The sequence below is a fragment of the Homo sapiens genome, chromosome 12, assembly GCF_000001405.40.
Source record: "Homo sapiens chromosome 12, GRCh38.p14 Primary Assembly".
Classification (NCBI taxonomy): domain Eukaryota; kingdom Metazoa; phylum Chordata; class Mammalia; order Primates; family Hominidae; genus Homo; species Homo sapiens.
Window position 1 is genome coordinate 1987397 of NC_000012.12, and position 23604 is coordinate 2011000.

General features: G+C 38.2%; 2 protein-coding genes across 34 annotated transcripts in view, besides 3 other annotated features; one reads left to right on the forward strand and one right to left on the reverse strand.

Moving 5' to 3' along the window:
• Nucleotides 1–17061, reverse strand: part of DCP1B (decapping mRNA 1B) — a 62867-nt gene extending 45806 nt beyond the window's left edge. The window contains exons 1-4 of one of the 3 annotated variants that reach the window (NR_135060.2): nt 16886–17061; nt 10539–10579; nt 5868–5995; nt 3725–3850 (exon numbers count right to left, since the gene is read on the reverse strand). Coding sequence is in view for 2 of the 3 variants with exons in the window: in NM_001319292.2 (NP_001306221.1) it covers nt 5725–5995; nt 10539–10579; nt 16886–17035 (462 nt within the window). In the remaining variant the exon portion in view is untranslated. Of the gene's footprint in view, nt 1–3724; nt 3851–4059; nt 5996–10538; nt 10580–16885 lie in introns of those variants that run through there. The other 2 variants (NM_152640.5, NM_001319292.2) reach the window with 2 other exon arrangements.
• CACNA1C (calcium voltage-gated channel subunit alpha1 C) overlaps nt 1–23604 on the forward strand; it is a 727171-nt gene that overhangs the window by 16617 nt on the left and 686950 nt on the right. The window lies entirely within an intron of this gene.
• Nucleotides 6067–6361: a silencer, noted in NCBI's record as "tiled region #10568; K562 Repressive non-DNase unmatched - State 24:Quies". NCBI's record gives its function as "represses a minimal TATA promoter and a strong SV40 promoter by Sharpr-MPRA in K562 cells {active_cell/tissue: K562}" and the evidence as "EXISTENCE:reporter gene assay evidence [ECO:0000049][PMID:27701403]".
• Nucleotides 16143–16782: an enhancer, noted in NCBI's record as "H3K27ac hESC enhancer chr12:2112705-2113344 (GRCh37/hg19 assembly coordinates)". NCBI's record gives its function as "activates a minimal SCP1, AML or CMV promoter by ChIP-STARR-seq in primed H9 embryonic stem cells {active_cell/tissue: H9 hESC(primed)}" and the evidence as "EXISTENCE:reporter gene assay evidence [ECO:0000049][PMID:30033119]".
• Nucleotides 17107–17336: an enhancer, noted in NCBI's record as "active region_5813". NCBI's record gives its function as "activates an Ori minimal core promoter by ATAC-STARR-seq in GM12878 lymphoblastoid cells {active_cell/tissue: GM12878}" and the evidence as "EXISTENCE:reporter gene assay evidence [ECO:0000049][PMID:35858748]".

Below are 23604 nucleotides of genomic sequence, written 5' to 3' on the forward strand. Positions count from 1 at the left end.
GTATTTTGATATCCAATTATATTTTTGGTTTTTATTTCCATAAAAATAATACATGTACATAATTTTAGAAGTTAAATAATACTGTGAACTTCATAGCAAATAGAACCCTTCTCTAGTCACTCCATTCTTGATTACTGCTCCCTGAAAGCAATTTAAATTACATCTACGACAGTTCTTTCTGCTCTCCATTTATTTCTCATCCAATTTTTCTTATGGTATTTAAATCCCTTTCCCATATATCATGTATGTACCATTTCTTGATTTTCAAAAATTGACTGAAGAGGATTCAGTTTTCTTACAATACACACAAATTCACACACAGATACACACACATACAACCCCATCCTTCCAATATAATGCTTTCATATTCAGTGTCTTTAACTATGTATTATGATTTGCAGAGCTACATGGTGTACTATGATTACATTTCCTTTTTTGTTCAATATTTTGTTTTCCCAGGAATTAAAAAGGGTTTCTTCTGTCTCCCTCCCCCTTAGTTTTCAATGCTCCTCATATCATCACCAAACTCTTAAAAAGTAGCTGTAAATGTCCCAATAGATTCAAACTATCAGTTGTAAATTTTTTCTTGGATACCATTCCTGAAGCAATTCACCCTTTGACTTTAATTTAAATCCCCTCCAGTTGCACAGGGGTCATTACGGGACTCTTCACCTTTGCTCTGGGAGATTCCCTTCTTCCTGGATGATTTGTATATCAGTCACAATAGGCCAAGTTATGCTACAGTAACAAATGACACCAAAATCTCAATGGCTTAGCTTACAATGACACAGGTTTATTTCTACAAGCTACGTGTCCATCATGGGTCATTGTTACCTCTGTGCCATGTTATCTTCATTTCAGAACCTAGGCTCACAAAGCAGCCTCTGCCTGGAATATTGCTGGTCATCATGGCAGAAGGAAAAAAGGCAGTAAATCTTAAGCTAGTTCTTAAAATATTTGCTCAGAAGTGATACATATCACTTTCAGCCACATTTCACTGGCCAAAGCAATTAGTATAGCCATACTTGAGTACAACAAGGTGAGTACATATTACCATTCTGCAGGGTGGGTCAATGCGTGGTATAGCCAACAGAGCAAAGATAAATAACCCTCTGTGAGGAGGCAACGCTCATGTTTGTGAACAATAAAGCTATTACAGCACGCTTCCTATTTCTTGTTTATTCTATCTCTTTCGTAAAATGGATCCTTCATCCTTTGGGTTTATGTCTTTTTAATTTTTTTACTGTCATTTCAAGAGAATTTCAGGAAAACTAGGAGTGTGCTCACTCTGCCATCGTTTACCCAAAAGTCTACCAACCACTCACTTTAGAAGGCAACTTTTATGAAGATGGCCTATTTAGAAGATGGGGGCTACCTGTAATTTTCCTTTTCATTCAGGGTACTATTTCCGTTATTTATAGCAGTTTTTCCCAGATCCTATGAATGTTAATCAAGGATTTAAACTGTCATTTCTTTTTTCATACAAAACTACCCAAAATGGTAAATTCACTTTAAGACTTAGGAGGAGTTTTCTAAAATAGTTTTGGTCCTAAATATCTTAAGTTTTTCTTTTCTGATTTGATCTAAACTTCAGGTTTACATCTGCAATAAAATCCAGCATCTAAAAAGAATTTCATTGCAATCCTATAACTGTGGATTATATCCTATATTCAACTTGTTGGCCTAGCTCTGAAATATCCCTGTCAGCTGGGCATGGTGGCTCCCGCCTGTAATGCCAACTACTCAGGAGGCTGAGGTGGGAAGATCACTTGAGGCCAGGAATTTGAAACCAGCCTGGGAAACACAGCAAGATCCTGTCTCTAAAAAGGTTGTTTTAAATTATCTGGATATGGCGGTTTAGCCCAGGAGTTCAAGGTTGCAATGAGGCTATGACCAATGCCATGGCACTCCAGCCTGGGTGACAGAGCAAGAACTTGTCTCTAAAGAGCAGAGCAGGAGCAGGAGCAGGAGCAGGAGCAGAGCAAAGAGAAAAAGGAAAGAGGAAAGAAAAGGGAAAGGGAAAGGGAAAGGAAAGGGGCTGGGCGTGGTGGCTCACGCCTATAATCCCAGCCCTTTGGGAGGCCAAGGTGGGTGATCACTTGAAGTCAGGAGTTTGAGACCATCCTGGCCAACACGGTGAAACCCTGTCTCTACTAAAAACACAAAAATCAGCCAGGCATGGTGCCATACACCTATAATCCCAGCTACTCAGAGGCTGAGGCAGGAGAATTGCTTGAACTTGGGAGGTGGAGGCTGCAATAAGCCGAGATTGTGCCACTGCACTCCAGCCTGGACAAATAGAGCAAGACTCCGTCTCAATTGAAAAAGCAAGAAAAGAAAGGAATCCCCATGTCATTGCTGTCTATAACTTAAGTATTATATTTGGGAAAATATATTTCCATATGCTAATATCTTATTTAGTTGCGAAATGAAAAACACAGTAAGTGATTACTATATGGGAATATTACAAAAGAAGTGGTCTAATTCAGCTTTTTGTTAAATTAGTTTTTAATCTGGTAAAAACTAATCTCTCTAATAACTGATATATGCTTGAATCTCAAGGCTAAAAAAACTTGCTTTTTAAACCTTGGAGCGTACTCTAAAATAACTAAGTGTTTGTAAATGATAAACTTGGCTCAAATGCATTATTTACTGCTAGTACTTCACTGCTTGGGCCTTGGGTCTCGAAGTTAAGGTTTCTTGGTTCAAGTGGTGTTTCCATCTCAAAATAGTCATGGACCACAGCGTATCACTTAATCCCTTTAACCTTAGTATTCTCATTTATAAAACAGGAATAACAGTATTTTCAAGAAAAAGTTATGGGATAACCCATATAAAACCTGAACATAGTGTTTGGCAGACAGTAAATGTTTGTTGAATAAATGAATGAATGAAATGTTTGCCCTAACTTTAACAGCTATCTTACTTACTTTTAAAGTTCATACAGGTCAAACCCCATTTTAACAATGTTTAAACCCTTTAAACAATGTATAAACCCTTTTCTGTAATAAAGTAATCTATTTTGTGTTTGAATGAAGTTACTCTATTTATCAAGCATCTTTTTTTGGCTGATTAAATGAAGAGAGTTTGGGATTTTCATTTCTTTATTTTGCTCTTCTACATTCATCCAATTCAAGAAAGGGATTTTTTTTTTCTCTCCTAATGAATCTAAAAAACCTCACCACAAACCTCTATCAATTCTACCTTTGTCTATTTGAAATGCCCAAATATGGCCTATGACATACATAAGCCAATGTGAAATGCAAAGACCAGACAGAGAGATTCTTGACTATACAGAATATCTTGAGGAAATAGTCTTACAAAAACAATCCTGAGTAAAGCTGAGTTCCTTGCCCAAAGAAAGGCCAACCAATCTATATGCCACCAAAGAACATGTAAACCATACATAATTATTATATAACATATTTGAATTCTATTAAAACGTTTAAGAGGTATCTGACACTCTGACAGCACCTGTGGTAAACCCTTCTGTGTACCTTTGATGCCCGGGATTGAAAAGGCTTTTGCAAACAACATAAAACCAAATGACTCTGGGTGCAAAGGCAATCAGTATCAGATAGAAAGGACAAAAAAAAAAAAAAGGCAAAATGAATCCAGAAAAGTAAATAGATCCATTCCCTTTCACTCTTTGTTGTTCAACTGATTCTATTTCTTTTGTATGGAAATTCATTAGAAACATTTTAATATGCATCCCAAAGGCTACCTTTAATTTGCATCCATGTTTAATAGTAGAGCAGTACAGGTGGTGTGGAAAAAGCAACGGAAGTGAAATCAGAATCTGTGGGTTTTTACACAGTCTGCCTCCTCACTGGAGTCTCAGTTTCCTCATCTGCAAAATGGCAATGAAAATGTCTACTCCACAAAATTGTGATTATTAAACATGGTAAAATAAATGAAAATCATTATAAAATACGGAAACATAAAATAAAATATGAAAAACAAATTAAAATAGAACAGTGCCATTCAATAGAAATATGAGGGGAACCACGAACGTGAGCCACATCTGTTATTTTAAATTAAAAAATACAAAGAAGCAAGTGAAATTAATAATATATTTTATTTTGCCCAATTTATCCAAAATATTGTCATTTCAACATGTTAATATAAAATAATTAATAATTGAGGTTTTTTCCTTTTTTTTTTGCACTGTCTGACAGTTGGTGCCTGTTGGACACTCACAGTGCAGCTCCGTTTAGACTAGCCACACTTCAGGTACTAAACGGCCACAGTAGTTAGTGACTATCATAGTGGACAGCACACGCTTAGAACCAAGGTGTATGTTTATTAGATCTAAATAGTATTTTCTATCAGATAAACCCTGTGGGACTTAAGAAGGTTATTTTTTAAATTGATGCATTAAAGAGAGTTTGTGTTTTTATATTTTTGGTATAGTAGTTAATATGTGATCTATAATAAGAATTTAAAATAAAATATTACCTATAACTGATCAGACCATGTATTTATCCAAAATAAAAGCAACCAAAAGTGATGATTACAGGTAACTTTGTAGTTATTTTATTAGGACTTAAATTATATATTAATTTGACATAAAATCTAATAATCTCAAAAAAAACCCTGACATAACTATAAGCACACAAAACAATTCAAACTATAAACAATTCAAACTGGCATTTCTGTAGAGAAGGAAAGGGTCCTGGAGTTGGAATTCCAAGTCTTTAGTAATAAACTACAATTGATAAAGTGTACCTTTCGGCAAAGAAACATGAGGAGAAAACACAATATTTTTCTATATTGCAAAACTTTTCATTTCACAGGACCTGCCATTAGTAAGTCATATTATAGTTTCAATAGCTTTATTTTTTTCTCTCATAAAAATTTATTCTCTAAATAATAGGATAACCACCTATTATGACAATTATATACAGCATCATTTTAATGCATCTTAATGATGCATTGGGGTTAAAATGTCAAATATTATTTACATTATACTCATTAAAATTACACTGAATAGTATATGGTAGGCAAATTCATGTATCTTGAGTTCAAAGAGTAGGATGAAAAATATACAGAAAACATTTCTTCACTGCAAGGTCTTTATGAAAGCTGTCCACAAAGCATAAGGTGCATGTGTGTGCACACATATGTATTTATATATTGAGTATTATGTTCTTGTTTTCTGTGTGTAGAGATGTCCCTGCAACTGGCATATTTTCAGCAATCTTCCTCTGGGCTGACCAGCAGTGCAACACAAGTGGTCAGAAACGATACGAGAGTAAAATGTAGTATGAGAAAGGCGATGGCTACTTCATTTCAAATCTGACAAGGACTATTTAGTTACCTACTACGACTTCCACATTACAAAGGGTTATTAAATTCTTAATGACTGAAAGAAACTTTTTGGACTTTGATTTTTTATTTACTTGTATTCAGAAGATGGCACTCCTACAATACAGGCCCTCAAACACTTTGTCAGCTCACTCGGCCAAAAGTGATACATAAAGAAAAAGTGCCATAGCAGACTCGTTAATTCTTCGTTCAGGGAGCCACCTATGTGTGTGTCTCTGCAGTCTCCTCACTAAGAACTTGCCTCACCCAGCCCTGCTCAGGCTTAAGATCAGCAATGGGTTCACACTACAAATCCATAAAGCTTCAAAAGACAGGGTTTAGGTTTATATCATCATATTTATATTCACTTAAACTCTTCCAAGGAAGAATCTATTCCATCATTAGGGCATGCATTTCCTAAACATTAACATTTGTTAAAATGCTGACACCCCCCATAGCCACTGATACCAAATGCAAACACAATGGCAAACACTGTACAATTTTAAACACTTGGCCAAACTTCAGAAGTAAAACAACCCACTGTAGTAAGAAAGACTCACATCTGGCATTTCTGTAGAGAAGGAAAGGGTCCTGGAGTTGGAAATCCAAGTCTTTAGTAATAGGTTCTGTCCTATTTTCCATGCTCAGCCTATTCATAATGGTGAATCCATGCTTTGGAGAAGCAGACCTAAAAATCACAAGGAGTCAGGGGGAAATCAATAGACAAATTGCTTAGTATGCTATATTTTCAGTATAAGTACATTCTGATGTGTCTCTCAACCTTTGTTTGTATATGCAGCTTTATATAAGCAGCCTGTACACGTACTTCTTCACCACTGGCATCATTATGGACTAATTCCCATGTAATGCAGCAGCACTGGCATGATGATTCATTTGGTAAAATTGAGTCATACTTCATTTGTGGTGTGTGTGTGTGTGTGTGTGTGTGTGTGTATACAGATGTTGTTTATTTCTTAACCTAACGTTGTAAATTCCTTTAAGGCAGAGTAACTACTTTTTAAAACATTACTGACTTTTAAAGAATACTTTTTAAAAGTTAAATTAATTAAAGATATTTTAAACAATCTTGGTAGTTAATATTAGAGTGTACATCACAATTATATGAAGAAAATTTTCATAGAAAATTTTAAGTGTTAGTCTGAAATTGAAGCCTGCAAAATCTCTTAGTGATATGAAGCAACTCTGAACAATGAACTTGTGAGGACACAGCCTGAACTAGAAGTTTACATAACAGTGCAAAGGGCAGATACTTTGTTTTCTTCAATGCAAAGCAAACAGCTTCACAGATAAACCACTATAAGTTTTTCTCTATAAAAATGTGACATTTAGTGATGTTTTATTTTCATTTCACTCAATAAACCTTGAATGCCTGCTCTGCCAGGCAGAAAGAATCCAAATTATACTGAGTATAAACTCTAACAACTACATGTGCATTCATCTACCCTTGGGTGACAGCCATATAGTAATTCAACTGCGCAACTTCCGGTGACAAATGAAACACCACATACTTACACACTGAAGCTGAAGCAAGCAGAATTCATTTATTTACTTTAAATGAGGGTGCTAGGGCTGTTATTAACAAACCCACAGAAATGTTATGAGCAACAGGAAGACAAGTTGTTTATGTCTTAGTTTTATTTTACCTCTATTTGATACTGATCAAGGAACACAGCTACATAACCACTACCAGGATTTTCTTCTGAAACCTCCAATTTTAAAATTGATGGGAGGCAATCCTTGCCTAGCTTATTTTACAAAGGGGTAAAGTGGTGGTAAGCATACAATCAATACCAGAAATAATCATGATCATCACTTCAACTTAAATTCAGAGGAAGAATGAAAATGTACTCCCAAAGAGCTCTGTTAGGGGTCTTCTGGAACTGTCAAGTTCAGAAATCACCAGTGGGTGTCTCTATGAACTCTCTATTACAGAAAGGAAGGCATGGGAGGAAATAAATGATTTTTTAAATGGGATTAAGTGTTTTCATACAAGAATGAGAATTTGATTCTGCATGTATTTCATTATCACAACAGGATCTCACCTCTTTAATAGTACAGCTACTATAGCATCTCATAATTTAGAAAATAGGCCCAGGGGATAAATGTGCCAACTGCTCTAAAGCAACTTCTGTAAGAGAAGTCAAAATAAATCACTGCCAGCTCCATTCCCTGTAACAAGCCTCCCACCCCCCACCCACCATGAGTTTTACATGCTTTTTGTAATTCGCTACTGAAGAAAGCCTTCAACATTCTAGGATCTGGGAGGTTTTTGTTTTGCAGGGGATAAGGGAGGCATCCCATTCTTGAGGAGTTAGATTTGGAGAAAAGACTAAAAAACAGCAAAGGATTTTTTTCTCAATTTAATGTTTTGTTTAATTGAGAGTTCCATTAGAGACTTAGAGTATAGTAAGAAATCCTTGAAAATACAAACTTATATTTGGTCTGGATGTACAAAAGAAAATATTTGTATGATTTGTTCCTCTTCCATAGTTAAAAAAAAACCCTACTAAAAATTCCCCAAATCAATCATTAATACTTACTAATACATCTTTTCTGTCACTTCTCCAAAGAATCATAATGCGTGTTGTGAGAGATGAGTGAGAACGCACCCTGTGTGCATGGCACATAGTACAGTGCAACCCTATGGCTTTTGTTGTAAACTTCAGAATCCTCAAGAGTGCTCATACTCTACCCAATAAACTTGCCTGGGGGCATGCTCTGGTGCTCTGGATGTTTGGGAGCATAATGTAGACTCATATACCAACGGTTCTTGGGTACTCCACTGCTCTTCTGAGACTGTGAAGAACCTGACCTCCTTGTCACCAAGTGTGCTGGCCTTGCCTCCCATTCCTTCCTTCCACCTCCCATTGTTGCCTCCACTGGAACAGACCTTCCTCCCCTGCAGCTGAGCTCCCTCCTGCCCAGCATACACAGACCTCCATCATGCCCACACTTTGCCCCAAATGGGCCTCTCTGTGCTGTTCTAGTCCTGCTTTTATCTTTCCAGCTGACTCATCTGTATCCTTGCTGGCCCTCAAACCTAACCATAAACCCTCATCGGTTCCTCTTTATACTCACTCCTTCAGGGAACAGCTTTTATTTCATGGTTTCAACTACCAAATTACTTCAGACAACTCTAAACCATCTCCAGCCCTGCCCTTACTCTGAGGGGCTGGCCACCTCCACCCAAGTGTCCTGCTACCAGTTCCAAATCATTACTTCAAAGTAAAATGAGGGCTGATCCTCAAGCCACATTCTTGACCTCCTGTCTTTCTTTTCCACCAATGCTTCTGTCATTCTCAATCTTCCATGTTCAAAATATTGTCATTTTTAAAATTTCACCATTGCAATACCCTTTCCATTTCAATTTCTATTATTCTAATCCCAACTCTCATCATTTCATATCTACCCCACTGCAATAATCTTCTCACTGTCCTGACTCCAATTTCTTCCAGAACTAGTGCGTCCCCATGAAGTGAATACACTGACTTTCCCCATACATTTTCTCTATTACTCTCCTGTTCATAAGCCTTCAATAACTTCCTACTGCTAAGAAAATAATCTCAAAATCCAGAGTCTGCCATTCCAAGCTAGCAAATCTCTTTACACTTGCTAACTACTATAAACCAGTATAAGCCCTCTGCACCACATCTCCCTCACTGTCCCTTTAACACACCAGGTTCTCCGCCCCTGCTTTTGCCATTCTTCCTGTTGAGACTGCCTTCCCTCTCCTCTATGCAAGCTAAGTTCCACCATATTCCTGAGGCCCAATTCAAGACACATCACTCTATAAAGCAGGGGTGTCCAATCTTTTGGCCTTCCTGGGACACCTTGGAAAGGGAAGAATTGTCTTGGGCCACACATAAAATACACTAATAATAGCTGATGAGCTAAAAAAAAAAAAAAAAAAAAAAAAAAAAAAAAAAAAAAACAACAAACTCTTCTAATGTTTTAAAGAAGTTTACGAATTTCTGTCAGGCTACATTCAAAGCCATCTTGGGCCACGTGTCCTATGGGCCGTGGGTTGGACAAGCTTGCGATAAAGCCTTCCATGATCACAGCAGCCCATTCATTGCTCAGAATCTATCCACTGGCACTTAGGATACTCTATCCTGTATTGTGGCTTACCATAAACATGAATATATGTGGAAAGAAAATACACTTGTGTGTGTGTATTTCCTGTCTCCCCAGTGAAACAGATACCCCTAGAAAGGTTTATATTAGGTCTTTTAATTTCATCTTTGTACCCTCATTGAAGGTGATGACCTTTGGCTATGACATTTTATGTGAATGTTTATGTGAATGAAAAGTTTATTTATTGAGCCAATATACATAATGTATGTCTCTATATGCACTCGTAATTTGATATTAATATCTGATAACAAGAAATGACTAAAAACATGAGTTTATTAAATCTATCCTGAAACATATTCTATTGACTAGACAATGGAGGACTGAAAGACATCTTCAATTTTGGATCATGCTTTTTTAAAGAGTCAGGGGTGGGAGAAAAGTGATCAACAGCCAGGTGCGGTGGCTCACGCCTGTAATCCCAGCACTTTAGGAGGCCAAGGCGGGTGGATCACGAGGTCAGGAGTTTGAGACCAGCCTGACCAACATGGTGAAACCTCCGTTGCTACTAAAAATTAGCTGGGCGTGGTGGCGCATGCCTGTAATCCCAGCTACTCAGAAGGCTGAGGCAGGAGAATCACTTGAACTCAGGAGGCAGAGGTTGCAGCAAGCCAAGAGCTGTGATCGTGCCACTGCACTCCAGCCTTGGTGACAGAGCGAGACTCCATCTCAAAAAAAAGAAAAATGATCAATGAAACCCTTTTCCAAATATTAACTGAACAATCTAGTATTTCTGATAGTGTTCTTCTAGCTCCTTGCCAATGCATTATATTCAAGAACTTTGTGCCATTCACTTGAATCAAAGAATATTTAATCTATTTTAAACAGTGCCCAGTCAATGATTTAAGTTCATCTACATTGAAGTTTAAATTATATTCTGAAATTAGTATTCATCACGATATACCAGGTGACATTATTTGGTATTCCCTTCTTCGTGTCAACTAATAATTTCAAAACTGAGATTTAATTCTTTTACTTCTTTTTGAAATAAAACTGCATGCACTTGAAGAAGAGTGACACAACGGAGCTAAAATATTATTTTGAAGATTAGTTTCTTTATAAAAGTGAAACACTCTTACCTTGTATAAACAAATAAGGTTCCTTCCACATCAGTTTTCTCCTAAACAATAAAAACAAAACACACAAGACATGTATGTTCTCTTCAATTCACAAAGGTATAAAACAAATTCTCATAGAATAGGAATTATATATAACTTCAATGGGCCAAATATACCCAACATGAGGAGTTATTCTCAGGAAAAGGAGAAAGCAAGTTCTATGTCATCATTGTGCCTCTGCAGATTAGGCAGCAGGAAGCAGTCTTTCTTTTGTCATTTATAAAACAAATCATCATTATCTCTCTTTACCAAATACAGGGATAGCAGCATACCCTTAGCTGAAACAATGAGAAAATAAGTGTGCTATGCGGATTTAATTAGAAAGAAGAGTGCTGCCTTTTTCTCCTTCCACCACACTGGGTATAGAGAAAGCTGCAGACATCACTGGTGTCTGCATTTCACTATCCTTCATTTTGTTTTCTGGGTTCATTTTCTCCTGCCATATCCAGTGACTTAGGAGAGCAGATGATCTGTCAATAACTTTACTTTGACTGCTAGACAGAGAGGGCAATGATGCCACAGAGTTCTCAGATGAATCAATCACCTACTTAGTGTAGTATATTTACAGTCAAGGTCTGACCCGAGATCACTGAAGTAAAGTTACACAAGTATTACCAAGTTAGGACTCAAGAAATCTGCCTGAGAAAATCTGGGAGAGGTGGTAAAGTTAAAATGATGGTTTAACTAGGTCACTTCACATTTCTTTTCCATTTCTCCAAAGGCAGGAAGCTAGGCCATTATAATATTCATCCATATAATGCATACTAAAAAACACACATGTAAGTATCCAGGTGTTTGACTAACCACGAACCAGACCTACTGTAATTCAGAATTTAAAATGTACTTTTGCAATTTACATGGTTTAATTTCAGCATTCTATTTAAACCCCTGATATTTTATTATTAATATTCATCACCATAATCATTCAAAATTTAAGTACTCTGTAATTCTGGTGAAAAATACGCCCTTTTAAAAAAAGCGTAATGTCAAAACAGCAGTTTTTAAAAGGCACACAAGGCATGATCCTTTCACATGCTCAGGCAATTTCAGCAAATTTCTCATTCACTTTAGTTCAGTGGGTCTCAAAGTGTTATCCCCAGATCAGCGGCATCAGCGTCACCTGGGAACTTATTAGAAATGCAAGCTCTTGGGCTCCTGCCCAAACCTACTGAATCAGAAACTCTGGGGATGGTGCTCAGCAATCTGGGTTTTATTAAACTGTCCAGGTGATTCTGATGTATGCTAGTTTGAGAGCCACTCACTGCCTTAGTTCAACAACATACTCTCTGCCCATGAAATTATATTACAAGTCCTGAAAACAAAATCCATTATGGCACAAATCATATCAAGCTATTATCAAGAGTAAATGGCTATAAAAAATCATTACCTAGTAACAAAATATTTAATCTCAAGATGTTTATTATTATGGAATATGAAATTATAAATAAAGAATTTAGACCAGGCACAGTGGCTCATGTCTGTAATCCCAGCACTCTGGGAGGCTGAGGCAGGCAGGAGGATCGCTTGTGGCCAGGAGTTCAGTTTGAGACCAGCCTGGGCAACATAGTGAGACCTTGCCTCTACAAAACAAAAATTTTTTTAATTAGCCAGGTGTGGTGGCACATGCCGGTAGTCTCAGCTACTCAGGAGGCTGAGGAGGGAGGATTGCTTCAGCCCAGGAGTTTGAGGCTACAGTGAGCTATGATTGTACCTCTGCATTCCAGCCTGGGCAACAGAGGGAGACCCTGTTTCTTATAAATAAATAAATAAATAACAATTAAAACAACTTTAGCCAGTTTTTTCCCTAACATAAAAGCATAGGTAAGTCAGGGAGTTCATCCTTAAACTAGATTCACTATGAAGTTTGTATAAATCACCACAACATACTGTGAAACATATCCTTATTTCTGAAATGTGGCTCGTTTGCCCCTGTACTTTGAAAAATATCCAAGTCAAAATGAAAAAATATATATACAGAAACATTACTTATCTTTCTTTGAAAACAAACATGGTTAATTCCTATCTGCTGACAAATGTATATCCTGAGTGTACCTGAAGCACTAAGAATTACTTACACCCAAACCACCAAAGTATTAATCAGGAAAATGGCCCCTACAGTACAGTAAATGCTACCTGAACAGTATACAAATTTTTGGCTGTCCCTAAAGTTTAACTGATTCAGTCAGCAAGTATTCACAAGTCCACAAAGCATTTAAAAATAAATTTGTAGAAAGTATTTGGTATTATCCATTACATTGTTAGGAAACTGAGCCAAGATACAGGTGATAGAACTAGGACTTTGCAGAACCTCTATGTAGTCAGGATCACTCCCCACAAGATCAAAACACTCTCCTGGTCTTCCAGTATCTGACCTTGGACTGTTTCATCTTAGAGATCTGAATAAGGATATCTATATATATCAGCACACATAAAACTAAATAGCTTCTGACTTGTTTCCTTTCTTCCTTGATGTAACAGAAATTCTCTTTTCTTAATTAAAAAAAAAAAACCTTTAATGCCACATTTTAGTTTTTAAATTCCAAGGTCAAAAATGTAAAAGGCATGCTTCTCCTAAAATTAATCTCTAACTTATAACAAGTAATTCTTAAAACTAAGATTTTTATTTAGCATTACACACAAAGAATATGAGTTTGTTCATAGGAAGGAGTTGTGTTTCAGTAATCACAACCTGGGACCTGTAGTGGGGTTCTTGCCAGATCATGCTGGGCTAATTAGTTTATTATTATATGTCTCAGTTTCTCCATTGAAAAGAGATAACCAGGCCGGGCACAGGGGCTCACGCCTGTAACCCCAGCACTTTGGGAGGCCGAGGCGGGTGGATCACCTGAGGTCAGGAGTTCAAGACCAGCCTGGCCAACATGGTGAAACCCCGTCTCTACTAAAAATGCAAAAATTAGCCAGGAGTGGTGGCAGGCGCCTGTAATCCTGGATACTCTGGAGGCTGAGGCAGGAGAATAGCTTGAACCCAGGAGGCAGAGGTTGCAGTGAGCCATGGTCACGCCATTGCACTCCAGCCTGGGGAACAAGAGCGAGACTTCGTCTCAAAAAAAAAAAAAAAAGAGAGATAATCAGCTTACACTACTCAGATCTTTTGATGAAAAAACGTCAGGCGCTCTATGACACCTGGATAAAAGAGACTTTGAAAATATACATTTCTGTTCTATTACAGCTGCCCAAATTCACGCATTTTCCTGGCCCCTCCATAGTTATCCAAGGGCAACCAGATTTTTTTTTTCTTTCTGAGCAAAGTCCAGGGTTAGGGATGTGGAGAATAGCTAAAACAAGATTAGATGTTCCTTAGATCCTTTAAGGAGGACTTTTATGTGAAAGTATTAGTTACCAGTCCTGGGGTATTTTAGCTTAAATTTTAAAAGTACAATTTGAGGATTTAATATTATACTGTATTATAAAATCTAACAAGTGCTAAAGAAATAAGCAATTCAGAATTCAAAATACTAAAAAACCCAAAATGGAATATAAAATAGTGCTGTTTTGCAAATTTTGGGGACTCTGCACACTGTCTGACACAAACTAGCTCAACGCAATCTCTATTTTAACTTGATTATTCTCAGTTAAAATAATCAAAAAGTAGGTCTCAACTTATCCTCCCAAATCTCTCTTCATCATGCATGTAGCACGTGAGTCACCTATGAGGCTTTCAACAATATGAAATGCCTGGGTCTCATTATCCAGAGGTTTTAGTTTGGCATTTTTCACTTTTAAAAAACTCTGACTTATTTGGATACACCAAAAACTTAGAAAACCACTAGCTAGGAACACAACGTTAGTCACTTTAGGGCAGTTTTCAGGCTCAGCATTCCCTGGCCTCTACTCTATAGATGTCACAACACTCTTCCCTTCAGTGTGACAACCAAAAACGTCTCCAGACACTGCCAAATGTCACCTGGGGGCAAAATCAACTCCAGCTGAGAGCCACTGGTCTAAGGACTGACAGCTGGAAAATACCAGGGTTATGGTCTTCAATTGACACATAGGTATTAATATTTTGGAGGCGGGGGGCAGTCTTTCCTGGCAACAGGGAGTAGGTCTAACTCTAAAATTCCTATTCCAGTCATCACATAATCTTTCTTAATCCTTCTTTAAAGCAGTTCATTTTCTAGACACCTTTCCTTCCTAATTTCTCCTCCTTTGAAAGGCTGAAGTCATTCTTCATCCATTTTCAGGGCAATAAGAATTCCCCTCCTTAAGATCCCCCCTGCCTTCTTGTAAATACTTTCTCCTCTATTCTCAACAATGTTCTCATATTCTTATTAGGTTTACATTCAAACGGCTCCCATCCACAGTGACAGCACATGGAGACAGTGGTCATAATTAGTTTGCCTCCAGCAACTGCTCTGCAGTTGAACTAGGTCTCTCTGTTTTTCTGGCTACCACAGCCTTGAAGATTAGAACTTTGAAAGAATGACCTTTTCCTGAATGAATTATGCCCTGTCTGAAGGCAACATATCCAGCAAGCAGGAAAACATAACTCCTGTAATTAATGCATTGTGACACATCTGCTTTTTGATGAGGCTTTAGGTATCTAATAAACATCTGTAACTATCTTAAAAAGGTATCTATCACATTGATAAGGGTCAAAAGCCTATAGGAAACAACTATTATTCAAGAGAAATGCTCTACTCTCTTTATACTGACAGTTTCTTGGGATTCTCCAGACTCGAATCCCAGTGTCAAGTCAACTTACAGAACTATACATCCCTGGTCCTCATCTCTCTACTACGGAATTACTTTTACAGGATTATAACATTATACCTTTAGCATTTTTCTACAGAGCAGCAAAATAGCCATATGTAGAATATCTTTTTATATATTTTTAATTACCATGGAGGAAACTGTCTATGTTGCTCAATGTTCTTTATGTAAAAACGAAGGTGACACCTCGAAAAAACAAACAAACAAAAACAAACAAAAAAAGTAGGTGACAAATTCCCCTGGAAACTAGGGGGAAATAACCTCTTTCTCCTGATCAAGAGGTACACTTTCTATTACAGAAGAACGAATATTAAAGAGCTCTTCCTGTTCTCCTTTTGTGTTTGGCTACTAGGAGAGCAGACCTAAATTCTTTGCCCCATTCCGGCAAATTTCCTCCGTTAAGAACTTTGGGCAAAACTGTTTGTCTACCCCATTCTTGCTTGTCTTTTTATTTTTATGTTAATGATTTTCAGGTGAGTTTTTTACTACAGGCTGCTGAACTATACTGCAGATAAGTAGGCTTATGAATGTGGGTGTTAAAAAAAATACAGAGTTGTTCAACATGGATGTTTTCCTAGATTAAGTTTTGATGTTTATACAACCGACTTGAAGAACACAAAAAGTTTATCTGAAATCCATTCATCAAGGCTAAGTTCTCCATACTGTTTTGTAACTTATTTTAAAATGATGGATATCATGTATGTGATACATAATGGATGATGAATATTATTTGGACAAAACTCATTATGAGTAAAGAAACAAAATTACATGTCTCTACATTCGAGTGGGTGGGTTACAAAATTACAAGCAGCAATCCCTGCAACAGGATTCCAGTGTTCTAGGCTTCTACCCCATTCTAACTATGAGGAAAATGAAATTTCATTCCATTACCATTTACTGGGACTCTGCTTTGAGAAGAGCACTAAAATAATTTGGCTCCCAAATGACCTCCAATATCGAACTTGGTGTGCTGCCGTGTAATAATCTTCCCAAGAGCATCAGCTTCCTTCTAAGTGTTAGACCCTGCCCCATTTTGTCTTTTATTTGACGAGGTTGGCTCTTTTCTTGGTGTTTCCCCTTAAGTTTACAACTTGCAGATTTCTCCCCTTCTATCAAGTTTTGATTTCTCTTTGCCCCATCTAAGACTGACATTCCAAAATCAGAACTCTGCACTTTTATTCGTCTGCTGTCCCTGCCTCCCCCATAGCCACAGATTCACTGTAACAGAACTCTGCTCTACTTTCTCGAGCACATCGGTCTTCCGGCCATAAGGTATCAGGTCCTTCCTTTCCTTCGGCTCTTATGGTGCCGTACCCGATCGGTCTGGTCTCCCAGCGTTGGGTACGTTAGAGATTTAAGTCTTTTCCCCAACTCCAGGTAGCTCCACAGATCCGCCTTCCTTCCCCCAAACCCCCGAGACCCCATCTCCACAACTTCGGCCTCAGTCCCCAGATCCACCCACTTCCAGGGCGTCAACGTCTCCTCCCCCTCACCGGGTCCTCAAGTCCTGAGTCTGACGCCCCCCGCCTCCACCCCAACCCTGGGCTGCACTGCTCCGCCGCGTCCGCACGCACCCACTCGTTGGCCCGATGGCCGAAGGTGTACAGAGCCACCTGGCTGGCCACGTCCACGATGCGGTTGATATAGGGGTCGTGGCGCTGCAGGGCCGCTAGGCTGATGTCGCGCCCCTTTCCCACCAGGCCGCCTGCCGCCACGGCTGCCATCTTCCCTCCCTCCCAGACATAGGCACGGGGCTCTTGGAAGCCACTCTCAATAGATCGCAGAACGAGCGAGCTGCCTCGCAACCGAGAACCCACGGCGACCACACGGCCCGGGAGGCCTTCCGGCTCCAGTCACCCCCACCCTCCTGCCCGCCGACAGACGCAAGGCCTCACTAATCGATGGCCGCGCCCCGCCCACTGAGGATCGTTGCCACTGGCAACGACAAGCCCAGGCCTGCCCTCTGCATCCCGTTTCTTTCTCCAAGAGCTGTTTTTCTACGCGCTCGAGCCTTTGAGCTGTGTGTGCGGTAGGATTTCCTTCTTGGATGTGTTCGACCCCTTGGCATATCTTTTCTTTGGCGCTTCAGTGATCAAATCTATCACAATAAATAAGCCTCGAGCATCAAGAACTCTGAAGAGAAAGAGAACTGAATTGATTTCTGAATGCGCTAACACCCAGTGGTTCTCAAAGTGTGGTGTGGTCCTGGAACCCTTTGGGAGTTTCTGAGACCCTTTCAGGGGATCTGCAAGGTCAAAAAAAAAACAAAACCTTTTATGACAATGCTGAGACTTACTTATTTGACTTGTTCACTGTGGTGACGTTTTGCAGACAATGGTGGTTAAAAGCGCCGGTGGTTTAACCCAATCAAGGCAGGGGCACCAAACTGTATTGCTAGTCAAAGTACGCGTCACTAATCTGCACTCTCAGTTACAAAAGAAAAAAAAAAAAAGAAGAAGGTAGAGAGCCAGTGTCACCTGATGGTGTTCTTGATAAGCAGTAAGAATTATTAATTTCATTGAAGCTTAATCCTTGGGTACAATTCTTTTTAACATTCTGCATGAAAAAATAGGAAATAGGCATAAAGCACGTCTGCTGCAAAATGAAGTGTGTCATATTTGTCTCTAGGAAAATACTTCTGTGCTTGAGTTGTAGGCCGAATTCATGTTTTTATTTTTATTTTCATAAAACATTTTTACTTGAAAGAAAGATGGGCAAACTATGATTATTCAAACAGGTACTTGACAGACATTTTTCTGAAAATAAATAAAGTGTGCCTGTCACTTTCAGGAAAACAAGGGACAATTACTGCTGCCAATGATAATTTTTAAGCCTTCAAGCCAGAATTAAAAGTTTAGAAAATGTGTATCTACTGCCATGAGCTTGACATCTCAGTACTTAATGTTTTTTTTTCTGATGAGATCAGTGATGATATTAATGAGCGCAATTTTAACAAATCTTGTATAATGGAAAGTGTCAATATCTCAAAGATCTGCTTAACTCAGTGGTCCAGTATTTTCCAAAAGACCAATGTCTCATGCTACATAATCATGCACAGGCAAAAGATCCATTCAAGGACAAGGTGGACTAATGGATTTTTAATGTAACAGTATGAAAAGTTAATAGGATTTCAGATAGTACATTGCAGCTAAGCTTTGAGAAACTCCAGCTTGTCAAGTTTTGGTATATTATCCAAGAAGAATATCCACAATTGTCTGAAAAACTCTATTAAAATATCCATCTCTTTTCCAACTACATTATCTACATATGAGGCCAGAGTTTCTTCATATACTCCAAACAAAACACACATAGCCCGGGGTCTTTAAAGTTATTTTTAATTTCCAATATGGTAAATATAGGTGGGTATAACTCACATAAACAAAAGTTCTCTGAGGGAGTCCTTAATAATTTTTAAGAGTGGGCCAGGTGCGGTGGCTCCTGCCTGTAATCCCAGCACTTTGGGAGGCTGAGGCGGGCGGATCACAAGGTCAGTAGTTCAAGACCAGCCTGGCCAACATGGTGAAACCCCGTCTCTACTAAAAATACAAAAATTAGCCAGGAGTGGTGGCAGGTACCTGTAATCCCGGATACTCGGGAGGCTGAGGCAGGAGAATCGCTTGAACCCGGGAGGCAGAGGTTGCAGTGAGCCGAGATCCTGCCACTGCACTCCAGCCTGGGTGATAGAGCGAGACTCCATCTCAAAAATAAAATAAATAAAAAGTAATTAAAAAAATAATTTTTAAGAGTGTAAAGGAGTCTTGAGACTAAAAAGTTGAGAATGGTTGATCTAAACCATTTATCTAGCATTAAATATTAGAACAACTGTGCAGACATTACTACTCACATTCATAAATTCTTACCTATTTGATATAGAAATATCATAGATACGGCACACATACCCTCTCATAATAATATGTTGCAATATAATCTTTGCAGTCACAATTTCAATTGTACTGAAATTCTTGGTTAAGCTGCATTTTGGAGTCTCAGTCCTATTGACTCCCAAGCCTAACTTCCCAGTGGGGAAGAATACAGCAATGGCTTTCAAACAACTTTTTTTTGACTGAGGCTGGGGTCATTTGCAGTCTGACTGAGAACATATGTTTATATATTTATACCTGATATTAACTAGAATAAATGTTTCAATACTAAGTATACAGACATTTTTTAAAATGCTATTTGTGACTTTGTAAATTGGTTTCATGACCAACTAATGGATTGTGACCTGTAGTTTGAAAAACATAGGGCTGCAGCAACTGAGCAACCACACAAAGCTGACTAGACAACTTTCCATGTTAGTTCACTACCTTTTTCCAGTGTTACTGACCTCTTTGCTCTTAATCACATATGTGCTTCTAAAAACAAGTTTAATCTGTAATATGGGCAATGGAGAATTTTGTGATTAATTCTTGAACTAGTCACACTCTCTCACTTGATTAGCTGTTCTAATTTTGATTTTTCAGCATGAACCCACAGATTCTACTTTGCATTTCCCTCGTACATATAATGAGGCATTGTTTTTCTTTTGTCTGTTAAGTTCCATGATCCTTACACAGATCATTGTCCTCATAATTTTTCAGTCTTTCCATCTTTAAAGTGTAAAGAATAGATCATGGCCTCCAAAGAACGAATTGCTTTGAGCTCATTAGAGAAGACAGGCAATATAGGGGCCATTGTAAAAGCTTAAATGTTCATAAAACAAAAGTGTATACAAGTCTTAGTGATCTGTATGACTACAATTGCAAAGCATTTATGGAGTGCTCACTTGATGAAATTCATTAATTCTTCATGATTTATTATTGCTTCTTGTGTCTGTGCTGAAATTACATGGTCATGTCTTCTCCAGTCTTTGATCTCACTGATGAGTAAGATGAAGATACCCTTACTTTGCTTACGGGGAAAATTTCACATATGTGAACAACATGCTAATATGACCCTTAGTAGAGAAGAGTTAATTTTTTGTGTGTTTAGAGTTAATGAAACAACCCATCTTCTGTTCTAACCTCCTTGTATCTGAACTCTTTTCTCCCAAGTATCTTACACATTCCTATCTCTGTACCTTTGCCCATCTGTCTTCTTAGCTTGGAATGACCTTTTCCTGGAAAACTCACCTCCTGTCTTCTCCCATACAATCCTTTCAGCCTATGAATCCTCATTGCATTCTGTTGCGATTTTTCTTGTGGCACTTAGCTCACTTTATCCTGACTTAGACTTATTTATTTACTACGTTACATATACATTTTTTTCCAATTCTAAAAAAAAACAGTCATTGTAATAAAAGAGAATTGTTATAGAAAATCTAGCCTGAAAACATTATTGCAATTGAACAAGAAATTGGGCTTTGAGTTTCTTGACAGATAAGCAAAAAGGAGGAAATAGTATGTTTCATAAAGTTTTACTTATTTATTTATTTATTTATTTATTTTTTGAGACAGGGTCTTTCTCTGTCGCTCAGGCTGGAGTGCAGTGGCACAATCACAGCTCACTGCAGACTTGACCTCCTGGGTTCAAGCACTCCTCCCACCCCAGCCTCCCAGGTAGCTGGGACCACAGGCTGGTGCCACCATGCCCGGCCAATGTTTTTTATATTTTGTAGTGATGGGGTCTCACTACGTTGCTCAGGATGGAGATGTTATTTTTCATGTTTTGTAGTGATGGGGTCTCACTATGTTGCTCAGGATGGAGATGTTACTTTTTATGTTTTGTAGTGATGGGGTCTCACTACGTTGCTCAGGATGGAGATGTTATTTTTTATGTGCTTATCACCACGTAGTCTCCCTAGCACTTGGTCCAATGCCTTGTACATAATAGAGATTCAATAAATGCTTATTCTTTTGAACTAAACCCTGAGTTAGTTGAATTTACTCATTAAATGTCAGCATTTTTTAAAGAGCTCATGATTTATAAAATAATGAAATCCAAGTTGGGATAAAAAAACGTGCAATAGCAAGTCCTGTTCTCTCAGATTTTATATTCTAAGGGAGATAGAAAAACATGGAAAGGTTTTTGGTTTTTTAACTTTCAAACAAAAAACTCTTGAAGATTAGAAATCATACTCAGAGAAAAAAGATAAATAATGTTGCAATGACTTCAGCATTGCCATATTGTTCATCTCCCTGGCCCACAGAGATTTATTTATTTTTTATTCTTTTTTCCTCCCCACAAAGGCCTAAAGCTCTGACCTTCTAGGATGACGCCAGCCTTCTGCCTTCTTTCTATTTGAATAATCTGTGTTTGTAAAACCAGGTCATCATCACTTAACCAAATATACTAAGTTGCAGGCTCGATATTAGTAAAAGACCATTTCGAATAGGCAAATTCTTTTTTAATCCGTGTAACTTCCATTTCTGTTGGCGCCCAGAGTGCTGGCGTACTTCCACTGTGTTTCCATAAGCCTCATGATGATACCTTGGACAAATATTGGTGACTTCGAGTTTCATGATTATATTATAATTGTCATTATGAGATTAAACATATGCTCACACTTGGTTTTACAAAGTTGGATACTGCAATTTAAAACAAGTTTGTAGAATGATAAAAAAATAATGTTTGGGTCTGGAATTTTTATACCATGGCAATGACTGAGTAAGACAAAATTCAGCATCTAATCAATTAAGGTAATTGTAAGAAGACAGTATGTTTAGATTCTTTGAAAATCAGAATATAACTGAAAACTGGTTTTGTAGGCATGAATGAATGTTTGCATACAAATATAGATTGACTATATCATCACAATTTTAAAACACAAATACACAGTCTGCTTTATTAGTACTCTTTTCTTTGTTGTGTAAATACCCTCTAAGTCTGGCATTTGTCCTGTAGTAGAATATGTTAGAATGGAGAGGAAGAGAGGAGCTTTCAGGATGCCCCTAAGAATTTGTGATTCTGAGATGACTTAGCCTCTGATGCTATGCTTTTGCCATCTGTATGAGTTGCCCTTTTTTTGCTAGGAATTTTATTCCAAAGGATGATAGAAGTGAACAATTAACTCTCTCTCCCTGTGGAGGAGAACAGTTTGAAGCAGTGTGTTATCAGTTGTTTTCAATGCATGGTTCATTTATGTTTTAAGCAGCAGAGCACAGTAGGAAGGGCACCCCCTCCTGGAAAGGGAAACTAGTTTCACCTCTTTCTATCTACGTGACCTTCAACAAATGACCTCACCTATACCCTGGGGAACATAATATTTGCTCTACCAATTTCACTGGGTAAATGAGATCAAGTGAGAAAATGTACCAGAAAAAGCTTTGCAATCTGTACAATGTACTGCAAATAGAAAAAAAACCCAAAAAACTATTACAATTAGTAGTAGTAAGAGTATCACTATCTTCATCATCATTATTATTAGTTTCATGACCAGTATTATTCTTTCTAATAGAAGCCCAGAAGCGATACTTTTAATCCAATTACCCAATTAGTGTTCAAATCAAAAAAATTCTGCATAAGTGACAAAGAATATGTTAATTCCCAGGGCAGCACATTCCCAATATTTTTATACGCTAAAGGATGCAAGTTAAAACATATTTATCAGAAACTTCACAGAGGAAGATAAAATATAGGAGACATAGCTCTTTGTTCTGCAGGGTTATACAAAAGGTTAAGATTTGAAACAATTGTTTGAGAGCCAGAGCAGAATGAGAAGGGGCAGATAATGGGGTGAAGACTGGGGAATGTGGGGAAGGCAGACATCTACCAGGGGGGGCTTTTGCTAGGGTAAGAGGTAACCTGTACCTTTGAAAAAGTCAGAAATTCTCCAGTCTGGGCCTTATAGCTCCCTGGACTAGACCTCTCTTAACTTGACCTGGAGGGGGACTGGGGTAATTAGAGCTTTTTGGAGTGGAGAGATCACTCTTGAATTGACCACTCTCTTTGCTTCTCTCTGCCAGTCCCATGAAATCTATTAATTTACTGTCACTGTCAGGAGTCAGGTGAAAGCTCAGTGGGTCTAGAGGATCTCTACAATAGCTACACCTTTTGATTTGCTTCTTTGTATTTCTGGGCATCACCCTAAGATATGAGGAAGCACCTTTAATTCCACATGAAGAGATCATTGGCTTAAAATGCAAAGACCTGATAGTGCTACCCAACGTCCACGAGTCTCAAAGTAATCAGTCATTTGATTATCAACAGGGAGAAAAAGATGTTAAGAAAGAGGAAGTAGAGGTCGGGCACGGTGGCTCACGCCTGTAATCTCAGCACTTTGGGAGGCCGAGATGAGCGGATCACCTGACGTCAGGAGTTCGAGACCAGCCTGGCCAACATAGCAAAACCCTGTCTCTACTAAAAATACAAAAAA